This window comes from Homo sapiens, chromosome 5 (genome assembly GCF_000001405.40).
Source record: "Homo sapiens chromosome 5, GRCh38.p14 Primary Assembly".
Taxonomy (NCBI): domain Eukaryota; kingdom Metazoa; phylum Chordata; class Mammalia; order Primates; family Hominidae; genus Homo; species Homo sapiens.
In genome coordinates, this window is record NC_000005.10 from 96,593,921 (window position 1) to 96,607,032 (window position 13,112).

General features: G+C 41.2%; 1 protein-coding gene and 1 long non-coding RNA gene across 12 annotated transcripts in view; both read left to right on the plus strand.

Moving 5' to 3' along the window:
* Positions 1–13,112, plus strand: part of CAST (calpastatin) — an 813,255-nt gene that overhangs the window by 632,492 nt on the left and 167,651 nt on the right. The window lies entirely within an intron of this gene.
* LOC101929710 (uncharacterized) overlaps positions 1–13,112 on the plus strand; it is a 669,085-nt gene that overhangs the window by 631,920 nt on the left and 24,053 nt on the right. The gene's annotated exons all lie outside the window — the stretch shown is intronic.

Here is a 13,112-nt window from a genome sequence, read left to right on the forward strand (position 1 = left end):
ATTATAGCAGCTGAACTAAGCCAATGCATGTCAGCCATTCCTTACTGCCCCATTCGCATAAATAATTTGCAATGCCAAAGATCACAGAATTCCAGTGCACCCACAATGCAGGAGAGTTCAGCAAGACTCAAAATTATAGTACAAGGTAAGCATGTTACATGTACTACTGAGGAAGCAGTGGCACTTGCAATTCCAAGAGGCCATGCCTCACCTTCCAAATAGAACTTTCTCTGAATGCATAAAGAAAGCAATGATGTTGTAAGAAACATGAATGAGCAAGAAACTCTCGTTTTTTCCACCTCTTATTACTTCCCTATATTAGCCAACCGTTCCTGCAGAAAATCATATAGAAGAAAGGGAAAGATAGGGCAACCCATAGCTCCTTTGCTTGCAGTTCATTACTCATTAGCAAACTAAAAGTAGAGTGTTGGTAGAATGCATGAATGTCAAGATGTAAACAGAAAAACAGTCGAGTTAGCCTTGTGGAGCATTTCTACTGTTCTGCCAAAAACAAAATACTAAGATTATGTAATTTCGATGATTCTGCGTGAGTTTAATGTTGTCATATTTGAATTTAAAACCAGCGTTGTAGAATATAAAGATGGATGACAAAATTCATTCTAGTAATTTAAATTTTAATTTTTTATTTACTTAGAATATTAAACACCACATTAAAAAATACCATGCCAAGTCAAGATAACCTACAGAAAACAAAGAATTTTCAAATTTTAGTACTGCTTATGTCACCTTTTATCTGCTTTTTCAACAAGAGGTTTCAAATTTTTATTTTGCAGTAAATCCTACAAATGATATCACCGGCTATGATATTATAGTAAACTCTGTTTTTGTTTTCTATGCACCACATTAACTTAGGAGTTGCTTAAAGGTGAGGATTGTGGCAAGATTTTTTTTTCTCTTATTATTCCTGGTGTTTACATATAGCAAGCTCTCAAAAAATGGATTTCAAATGGCAATTGCAGTTAAGTTTAATGTTTCGAGAAAGGCAAGACCAAGGAAGCAGCTCTTTTTCCAGATGCATCTCAAGTATATTTTGTCCTGAGTGTGTCAAATATGGAATCTACAGAGTAAAACCAATTCCCCGGTCAATTGGCCCTGGATTTGAACACTGGCTAGGTCTATGTTAGGCACTGTGGGAGATTCACATTATATCTTGGAATCATTCATGAAGCCCATCTGCTTACTCACAGAAACGTGGGATAGCAAGTGCAGAGGATCAGAGCTGGCAATGGACATGCACATGCAGGCATAAAATGGGCTGGGAGATTTGCCTCAGATACTAAACCGGATGTTTATCTAGGTAGATAAAAACATGATTCCCCCATTGGCAACTCCAGTGGCTCAAGGTGAGGAAAAAGAGTTCCAACATATGGACTAGGACCAGCCACAAGTGTAGTCAGTGGCCTGGGTCCCCAGATTATTATCAAACAGGAATTACGTGGAGAGTTTATGTGAAACAACCTGGGAATTCGTCACTAGGGAAGCTGTGAATCAGCAGCAGAACTCCAGGCCTCAGGGAAGGGCCACCGAAGGGGAAGACAGGACCCCAGTCATGGAGGGAAGTGGGGTCAGGGAATCTTCCCAGAACAAGACCTCGAAAGGACCAGAGCAGAAGCCTGACTCATAACCAATGCCAAGGGTGGGATGGGGAGCAAAGAAGCAGAGACAGTGATGGGCTCAGGCAAGGCACTCAGTTGGATGACACAGAACCTGAAATGGATAGGGAGAATAAAGGAGAAGGCCACCTAGAGGCCAAAGAAAGTATTTCAGGGGAACGAGGAAGAAGAACATAGAGAAAATATGCAGAACTTAGATAAAAAACATATAGCTTGGTTAGAGAAAAAAGACAAATATATATGAAACAAAATAGAGTTAAAATTCAACATAACATATTAGACCCAAATAATGGAGTTCTTATTTAAGTACTATGAGAAGTCAAAGTGAGTTGGAGAAGGGAGAGAAGGCTTCCTGGAGGAGGTGGCGTGGCATAAGACCTGGATGTTCAAGGAAAAAATATTCAATCCACTCAGGAGGGATATACTGAGCCTGCAGAGAGCTGCAAATGGGGTGGTCTCTATAAGGGGTTTGTGCTTAGGAGTGTGAGGTGTAGGAATAGTATGGTAGGCTGAATCATGCCTCTTCCAAAGATGTCCATGTCCTAATCTCATCCCCCAGAACCTGTGAATATTGCCTAATATGGCAAAAGGAACTTTGCAGATGAGATCAAGGGATTGAGATGGGTAGATTGTCCTGGATTAGCCAGGTAGGCCCAATACAGTCACAGTTGTCCTTACAAGAGGGACACAAGAGGAGTCAGAGCCAGAGGAGAAGACTGACTCCTGAAGATGAAACCAGAGGCTGGAGCAATGTGTTTTGGAGAAGGAGGAAGTAACTACAAGCCAAGGAATACAGTCAGCCACTAAAAGCTGAAAAAAGCAAGGAGACAGATTCTCCCCTCAGAACCTCCAGAAGGAACGACCCCACCAACCTCTTGATATTTGCTCAATCAAACTGATTTTTTGCTTTTGCCTCCAAAATGGTAAGAGAATAAATTTGTGTTGTTTGAGCCACTAAGTGTGTTGTAAATTGTTTCAGCAAAAATAGGAAACTAAAACCAGCAATAGGAAACATGGACTAAGCTATAGAGCTCTTTGTGGTCACTACAGCCATGCTCATGAAAAACAAATGTAGCCAAGCATATGAGGGAACTTGCTGTGAGATGCTTTCTTCTGTGTTCATGATGGAACACAGCAGCCCACCTCGAGATAAGCCCTGGAGAGTGGAGGCTCCACTGAATTCAACCTACAGCACCATGTTGAGAATCCTCAGCTGCCAACAGGTTTTTTCTCACAGTCTGGAGGCTGGAAGTCTGAGACGAAGGTGCCAGCAGGGTTAGTTTCTAATGAGGGCTCTCTGACTTGTGTTTGGTGATTTTCTCACTGTGTGCTCACATGGCCTTTTCTCTGAGCATGTGAGGAGAGAGAGATCTCTGTTGTCTCTTCCTCTTTTTATATGGACACCGGTTCTATCAGATTAGGGTCCAACCTCTATGACCTCATTTAACCTTATTACCTCGTTAAAGGCTCTATCTCCTAATACAGTCATATTGGGCATTAGGGCTTTAACATGTGAATTTTGTGGGGGACACAGTTTAGTCCATAACAGGTGACAGTGATCAAGATGGCATCATCCTGTACTTTTAGGATCCACGACCTCATATATTTCATTGTTATGAAGAGCATATCAGAAAGCAAAATGAAAAATACTTGCAAAACATCTTTTAATTTTCATGCATTCTCAAGACTTTCCTAATGTCAGAATATGTCAAGGAATTTATCCATCTGCCCTAAAAAAGAAAAGGATACCAGGTGGGATACTGTGGCCTTTTCCCCCACTCACCTACGTGAAATACTAATTATAGAAAGTACAATGGAGAAAATATTTTGTGTAAAACCTTGCAGCTGGGACCCTGCTGTCTGGACGTAATTATACAAACTGGAATTGATTTCAGGCAGGACAAGAAGGCTACCATCCCAGCTACATGAAGTGCCTAGGGAGCTCCTCTAATTACCACTAACTAGAGATTTAGTCTTATATCTCTTTCAAATAACGTCAGCAGCAGCAGAGGCAACCTGCACCTTCCAACATCACACTCCTCCGTTAGTTTGCTCTGACTCACCCTCCTCTCATCCTACCCGTGATGAACTTTCCATTGAGTGATTTATTTTTCCATATACTGAGTAGCACTTAAGCAACTGCCTTCTTTTCACCTTCTTTCTTTCCTACCAAATAATTATCGTGTCTCCTCTATGCAAGGACATTCATATATGCTATTTATTCAGGCCTCATTATAACCCTGCTAAGTAAATATCATCCCTCTAGATGTGTAAAGTGGGGGTCAGGGTGGTTTTGTGGCTTGACAACAGCATTGAGTCACCCCAGTGAGGATCTGGAGGGGTGGAAGAAGAAAAGAAAGGGGGAGAGAAAAATGGAAAAAGAAGGGGGGAGGGGGAGAGGCCAGCAGTACTAGGGGGCTGGCAGTAGTGAAGTCTGCAAGGCTCTATCTCTACCTCCCCACAGGGTCAAGATGACTCTACACACTCCCGAAGGTCCTGTGCTCAGAGACTAATTCCATGAAAATTCATTGTAATCAGAGCTTGTACAACCTGCTTGATGAGAATTCGCTGGACTTGCTGCCCATACATAACAAAATGGTAGTGCTTCTCTATAAATAAGCTCTGGCTCCTCTGCCTAATGAGGGCTTACACTCAGCCTACAGGAAAACATGTTCTGTCTTTGCCATCAATTTCCTTTGGTGCCCAGTGCATGAAAATAACTTTTTTTTGCCTTTCATGGACTTCTCTCCAGCCAAATTAGAACAGGACCCCCAAGTCTGCCCAAAGGCCAGCTAGTTCCCTGGGTCAGCCTCAGATATGACCAGAGCCAAGAAGTCCTGTCATATCCCACCCATCCAAGCACTGGGGAAAACTGGCTCCCCTCTCAGCTGCCCTGTCTCTAGGGCTGCAGCTTTTATGTCTTTGGGAAGATTTGCAATGGCCTGGCTCTACTTCTCTTATTTCTCTCTGTGGCCTCTGAGTTGGGTGACATGGGCTGGATCCCACAGGACAAATCAATAAACATTGTCCTACCTCCGTTTTTCTATGAGAAAAATGGAAAATAATCACTGAGATAGTTAATTTTATATGTCAACTTGACTGGGCCATGGGGTGCCCAGGTATTTGGTCACACATTATTCTGGGTGTGTTTGTGAGGGTGTTTCTGGGTGAGATTAACATTTGAATCAGTAGACGGAGTAAAGCACATTCCCTCCCCAGTGTGGATGGCCCAATCACATGAAGGCCTGAATAGAACAAAAACACTGACCCTCCCTCTAGTACGAGAGGACTCCTCCTGTCTGACTGCTTTGGGCTGGGACATTGTTTGTTGTTGTTTTGCCTGCCTTTGGACTCAAACTGAAACACTGGCTCTTCTTGGATCTTGACCCTGCCAGCTTTCAGCCTGGCACTATACCACAGGCTTCTCTGGTTCCTACATCTTCGGACCCAGACTGGAGGTCTCCAGCTTCTGACCGTGGATCTCTCAGACTCCATAATCACATGAACCAATTCCGTAGCATGGATACATACTCATTCTGTTTCTCTGAAGAACCCTGACTAATACAATCACTGATATACAGCTTTTGTGAGACTTTTAGAGTATGGCTATGTTTACAAAATATTTTCAAGTTGTCAGACAAATGCACAGTGTAAAAAACACAATTTGACTAAGGCCTATCTTAACTTAGGGGGTGAAAGAGAAGGAGGGACTGGTGGTTAGTGCCCCAATCTGTCCTCAGACTGATCTTATTCACTGTTGGTCCCCAGTGCTGAAATCAATGCAGGTGGTATGATTTCTAGTCTCTAAATTCAGGAATTAGAAAATATCTGTTTCTTTATTTTCTCAAATCAAGTGGAATATAAATGTATCTATCTAAGCAAGCTGTAATGTTAAAAATTCATCTACTGTAATATCGGGCTGACTTCCTATTCAAATCTAATAAGAACCTGGAAGTCTTAATTGTGCTTAGAAAATACCTCTATCCTTCAGTTGCTTTGGGGGTCTTCATTCTTCAGGCCATCATGAATGCCACTACATCTACATTGCCTAAGTGCCAGGTCCCTCACACTCTGGTAACTTTAAGTCAGGTCATCTTATGGCAGATACAAAAATGTTTGCAGAGACTGGAAATCCACCCCCCTCCATAGGCGCCCCACTACCAACTCTGATTAATTCTGTGCCACACACTTGGGGCACAGAATTAAGCTACAGCAAATTTGAAATAAGCTATTTTCTTTCTATTAGTAATTGGGTCCAGGTACACCCACAACCCATACACTTTTCTCCTCACAAGAGGGAAGTCTTTTTCCTTTTTCTGCTCTTTCTCTCCTTTTCCTCAAAGAGCTTATTTAATTCCCACATTTCCCCTTCTCATTTATCCAAAATATCCTGTATTATTGCTTCATTAGGCAAAAAAAAAAAAAAAAACCCTCAAGCTCTGTTGATTTCAGACTGCAAGTTTGAAGTGTTTTGTATCATTTCTTCCAAAGGTAGTGGCTAGACAACTTTCAGGAGGGAAGTGTACTGGTAGTGGTTTGATTAGGTTGTATGGGCATTATTAAACCCTTGTGTCTAAGAAAAAAAGGTATGGTTTGCCTTATGGGCATGGGGTAGAGTATATCGTTCTTGCCAATCAAGACCAACCAAGATGCCTTTTAGTTTTATTCTCTCCCTTTCTAGATACCTGGCAAACACACAGTCTAATATAGAAAGGTTTTATATATGCATTGCACCACATGGTCCTCCTTGTTTAATCAGATTTCTTTGAACTATGGTGGGCACCTAACCCAAGAGTAGCCAGTCTCTGACACAGCCTCAAGCAAGAGCCCTACCCAGTAAGGGCACATTATATGGATGACGATGGACCAAGTATGGACCCTTCATATTAGGAAGTTTGAATTCATAGACAAAAAATCATTGATAACAGGAGAAGTCACAGAAACGGAGAAAGAGAAGTGATGGGAATGAAGAACCAAAGAGAGAAAAACAGTTCCCTGGTGCTAACCTAGTGAAAAGACACCTAGTTATTAGAACTATGTTCTCACCTAAGAGGTCCTCCAACTCCTCTTTTTCGGAAAAACCCAGCTCTATGTGTCCCTGTTTTCCTTCCTTACCTGCATATTCTTTCTGCATATCCTAATCCTCTGCGCAAAACTGAGCCTCTCTGTATTTCTTGCAACCTGAAGGAAGCTCACTCACATTTATTTCAAGAAAAGCTTATAAGGCTTAAGCTTTATAAGCTTAAGAGTAAAGAGCAATAAATAATTTACTGATTATTTAACATTCAAATTACAGATTATTTTATTCTAAAGTTTGAAGATTAAGAAATCCTAGAGAAATAGCCACCAATGAAAACATCTCAAAACATACTAACCTCTGCCCCTGCTCCTCCTTCTCTGGATTTTGGTCTCCCTCTGTTTTCCTTCTGCTTTTCTTCTGGTTTACGAACCTACCTCCCATCTCCCCCTCCGCTATCTATCTTTCTCTGATGTGACTCCTTTTGTTTCCCTTTGGTCTCCTTGTTGTGTGAATGTCTCTCTCCCTCTCTCCTTCAACATCTCCTTCCCTTACTCCTCCTTTCACACTCTCTTCCTTTGCTAGGTGCCTCTATGACCATTTACCTATTACTTTCCTTATTACCACCCTTTAAAGACCACAAAATGGAAAGGAAATCTGTTTATTAGAATTTATTGTGTCTATCACATTTTGTGTCCTACTTTCTTTATTGAATGGCAGGTGACTTGAGCATTTCGTTTTTCGCCTAACAGAAGGAAATACCTAAACAATCTGCTTTTGCATGTGCTGCCTGATTGACTAATTTCCGCAGGATCTGTGACCTTGGCAGAAAATAAAGTCTCACCCAGGACTCTGCATAGAAGGTTACTACGGAAACAATGGATTCTTTGATCCATTTATATTTGAAAGGATTTTTTTAAATCCCTCTGGAGATTCAAGTTGAAAAGAGAAAAATGCAATAAATTATTTACTAAATTAGATTATTAATCCAAAAGGTACAAAGCTGTTATTGCAGTGAAAGTACCGATTTCAGTTTTATTATATAAAGATATCTCTCCTGGTGATACCCTGGAGCTGACATTAATCTTTCTACTCGATTGGTTTTTTAATGTTCCCACTTTGTACATTTCCTTTGTGCATCTGAAAATAAAGTTTCAGGATACATCTTACCCTCTATAGACCAAAACTAAAGCTAACACCCTTATCATAATTCTTTTCATCCTGTCAAATAATTAAAATTTTTGTACATTTTATGTCAGCAGGGAAAGTTATCCGGCATTTGATAAGCACCGTAATGCTAATTGCTCCTGGTGTATCCAAAAGTATAGTCACCTGCCACCTAGTGTCTTAACTAAAAACTGCAGCAAAGGATCCACTCAACTAAGGTCTTCCGGCTCCCTCTGGCCCTCCTCATTGGACTCTTGGGGTTTAGCTTCAAACTCTCTTGAGTGGCAGGCAGCTCTCTCTGTGAGAGGTGACTAGACCTGACTTACCCACTCTGAACAGCAGAATCCTGCCTGTCACAATAGAGTAGGGTCCCTCTGGTCTATATATGAGAATACTCAAAGGAGTGCTCTGACTCAAGACACCATGGAAGAGCAAAGGATGGTTGAGGACGGCTGAAACAGTAATATGACATGACAAGTGTACATAGCTAATGTTATACTGCTATCTCAACAATAATTCCATGCAGTGATTGCAATGACATTTCAATTTAACATTTCACAAACCTTTACATTTCTACTATGTGCTGGTCACTGTGCCAGGCCCTGGAATGAAGCAGCGTCAGATAAGAGTCCTGCCCTCATAAAGCTTACATTCTGTGGAGGAACACAGCAAATAAACATGATGAATCTGTATTAGGATAAATATTATAAAGGAACTAAACAGGGTCATGAGGCCAGGCACAATGGCTCACGCCTGTAATCCCAGCACTTTGGGAGGCTGAGGCAGGCAGATCACCTGAGGTCAGAAGTCCGAGACCAGCCTGGTCACATGGTGAAACCCCATCTCTCCTAAAAACACAAAATTATCTAGGCGTGGTGGTGCATGCCTGTAATCCCAGCTACTCAGGAGGCTGAGGCAGGAGAATCGCTTGAACCTGGGAGGCGGAGGTTGTAGTGAGCCAAATCACGCCATTACACTCTAGCCTGGGCAACAAGAGTGAAACACTGTCTCAAAAATAAATAGATAAATAACAGGGTCATGATAAACTTATGGGAGAAGACCATTTTGTTTAAGGTGGTGAAGGAAAGCCTTTCTGAGAAAGAGGCATTTGGGTGAGACTCAAATACGGAGAATATTCCAAATATAAAAATAGCTAGAATAAGTCATTCCAGGAGGAGGGATCAGCAAATGCAAAGGCCTGGAAGAAGAAAGGGGCCTCTGTGTTCAAGGACCAGGATGAAGGAAAATACAGCTGAAGCGTGATAAGTGGCAGATAGGATGGTGTTTGTTTTCTAAGCATTGCTGATTCAGGATGTGAAAAAAAGAATTGCCTTCCAAGGTTTAAATTTTGAAATCAATGCGTAATGGATCATATATTTATTGAAATGCCTTTTGGTTTGTCAACCTAAATGAAGAACGGAGGATCTCTAAAAGAAAATGATATTTATTTAAGAATAGGGCGTTGTAATGGGAATATGGGAATACCCATGCTATAGTAAACTACATGTGTATTCAGGGAGGTAAGAGAGGACAAATGTTTTAAAGATTCTTTTGTAATAACATTTAGCTTAAAAAGCAAATGCATCGTTCAGCTGTACAAAAATGTTTTCTTTCTTTATAATCATATCTTATAAGCTTTTTTCTATTTTTAAATTTTTAATTTTTTTAACCTTTTAAAAGCTTTTTTGTTAAAAACTAAGACACCAACACACACATTAGCCTAGGCCTACACAGGGCCAGGATCATCAGTGTCACTGTCTTCTACCTCCACATCTTGTCCTACTGAGCTCTTCAGGGGCAATAACACCCACGGAGTCATCATCTCCTATAATAGCAATGCCTTCTTCAGGAATATCTCTTGAAGGACCTGACTGGGGCTGTTTTACAGTTAACTTTTTTTAATAACTAGAAAGAGTACACTGTAAAATAACAATTAAAAGTATAATATAGCAAATACATAAACGTGTTACACAGTCATTATCAAGTATTATGTACTGTACATCATTGTATGTGCTGTACTCTTTTTTTTTTTTTTTTTTTTTTTTGAGATGGGGATTGCTCTGTCGCCCAGACTGGAGTGCAGTGGCATGATCATGGCTCACTGCAGCTCAACCTCCAGGGCTCAAACAATCCTTCCGTCTCAGCCTCCAGAGTAGCTGGGACTACAGGTGCATGCCACCATGCCAGGCTAATTTTATTTAGTTTTTGTAGAAACGTGCCCTCCCTACATTAACCAGGCTAGACTTGTATTCCTGTGCTCAAGCAATCTTCCCCCCTCAGCTTCCCAAAGTGCTGAGATTACAGGCGTAAGCCACCCCACCTGGCCCCTTGTGCTATACATTTATATGACTGGTAAGGCAGCATTTACACTAGCATCACCGCATGAGTAATGCATTGTGCTACAATATCATGGCTACGATATGGCTAAGCATTAGGAATTTTTCAGCTCCATATTAATCTTATGAGCCCACCTTCCTATATGCAGTCCTTGGTTGACCAAAACATTGTTATGTAACACATGAACATACTCAGGATGGTCACTATCTACTATAATCACTTGATTCTCAATAAAGCTGAGTTCCATCATGTCTGGAATAAGGTGATGAATAAATTGGTTCCTATATTCAAGACCTTAGAAATTGAGACTAGAGTAGATAATAAACATGTGAACACATACTCATGTCCAGCACCATATGGCAATTTTTAAACAATATGGCAGAGGTATTTCAGGAGAAAGTAATTCATTCTTACCAGAAATATGTAGAAAGAGGTCAGTGAGACCAGCATAATGGAACTGGCTTTTGCAGGACTTGAGTAAGTAAAAGAGGAAAAGTAATTCCAGGTACGGGGATAGGGCACATGAAAGGAGTGAACAAATGCTAAAGGACTCATTAAAGGAATATGGAATGATTGTGTAAGACTAAATTCTAGAATCCACTGGGATGGTGGCACAACAGAAATTTGGGGCTGATGCAAAAATTAGGCCAAAAGTCACAGAAGCCAGAATGTAGACTGCCTAACGTCCAGGCATGGGATTTAGGTTCTGCTTTGTAGCAATGGCAATCCATCAAAGGATGTGTGATATGTAAAATTCCTTTATCAGCAGCTCAGAAGAGTGGGCTCAGTAGGCAAAAGGCAGAGAAGACTAGAGGAAGGAGTATCCTTTCAGTGCTGCCTTGCCACTTGTCCAGGCAAACGAAGATGGAAACTTGATTTATGTTGGTGTCTGTAGAGGCGGAGGAGAAGAGGTGGTTTTAAGAGACCCGGGACATAGAGAACCAACAACACCCTGTGATAAGGAGAGGGAAGGAGATGGGACATTGAGGTTGACTCCAAGGTCTCTCACTACCTAGGGGGTCAAATGTTGATGATGCCACACACTGAAATACAAAACTGAGGAGAAGGATACATTTAGGTTTCCAACACATTGTGTATGAAACTCTAGGGGAACATTCAGGTAGAGCTGTCCTACCTTTAATTAAAAGCCTAAGCCCCTTCCCCCTCCCCATCACTTTATTTCATACACTTATAGCTGCTTTTCACAGACTGCATACTGTATACTGCCTGCTAAGCTTCATGACAACTGATCTAGGCAGATGTCAACAGCCACACATTGCAGAGAAGAAAAATGAGCACTCAGAGATGTTAAACTTGCACAAGATCACACAGCTGATAATGTGCAAAGCCAGATTTGAATCCAGTTTTGCCTAATTCTAAAGGCTTTGTCTTCCAACATATTTTGCCTTCTCCTGATCTTGTAGCATTTTTCCCTTTTACCCTAAGAGACAATTCAGCCTACCTGTTTTAATTAGATGTATAAAACGTTGCTAGCCTGAAAAAAAATAGATTACTCACTTCATTCTTAGCCAGGGTAGAAGAAGAAATAATAAAAATACTTGCTCTGAGGCATATAGCTGAATTCCTCTGGAGTGTGGTAAGTCCAAACAAACAGATGAGAGTTTTGTGAGTTGAGCCCTAGAAACATAACTATCTTATTTCATAAGGTAAAGTGGGTATTTTGTTAATAAGAAATCATTATTTATAAAACATTAATAAATTACCATCACCAATTCTTTGTTAAACAGTGGACTATAGAGAGAGAGTTTGGGCTCTACTTTCCTAAAGTAAATCTAGTTACTGTGTTGTGAAAATTCAGTATTTCAAGATTTCCCCACCTGTTAACATAGCTGTGATAACTGTATTTGAAAGAAGCTTTTAGAAGTCTCAGACAAAGCTGCTACTGGCGGTAAGATTTAAAATTTTCCCTCAAATATCAAATATGGAGTTCACTCTGCCACTCCTTTGGGTCAATCTGAGAGAGTTGTGGGGTAATAGAATTTTCTTAAATCTGTGATGGAGTCACACAGGTACCCACAAAGTGGTGGCTCTCAACCCTGAAGCACATTTAAATCACCTGAACAACAACAACAACAAAAAAAAAACACTGCCCAGGGCAGAGTGGGGCCCAGGCATCAGCCAATGTGGACAACCACTGCCCCAAGGTGGGCAGAACAGAGAAATGGGAAAGAGGTTTGGAAGCAGTTAACCAGTATTTAAACCGTACCTTACCACCTACTAACTTTGTCATATTTGGTAAGTTATTTAATTTCTCTGAGTGTCAGATTTTTATCTGTATAAGAATACTACATACTTGATGGAGTGATCCTGAGGATCAGGAATAAAATGCATAGTGTACTCAGCCCAGGGCTGGATGCAGAAAGAGCCAGCATGAGACACTGGGACTGGAGGACAGGCCTAGAGGAGGAACAGAAGCCTGAGCAGAGAGGCAGAAAAACAGGCCCACAAGGCAAACTTAGGCCTGCTTCAGCCTTATAAATATCTGTTTCCTGGTTCTCGTATTCTTCTTGAAAGCCAGCAAGAGGTTGGCTCGGAAAGAAGGAGAAATTTTACCATGAGAAAGGCCTGCAATGTGGAAAAGCTGGATGCTCCCAATCACCTTTTTGTTTGTTTGTTTTTGTTTTTGACCATGGGAAGGTTTGTGCCACCTGTGCCCAACTTGAAACCTATCTCTAGGGATTTGGTGCTTACTCTAGAACATTATACTATCCTAGTGGTTCTTAGGGTGTAGTCCCCAGACCAGCAGCTTAGCATCTTATAAATGTATTAGAAGTGTGTTAGAAATGCAAAAGCCTTGGGGCCCTCCCCAGGCCAACTGAATCAGAAACTCTGGGAATAAGGCCCGCAATCTGTGTTTTTAAAAGCCCCCAGATGAATCTGATGTGTGCTAAAGTTTAAGAACCACTATATTGGCGGGCGCGGTAGCTCACGCCTGT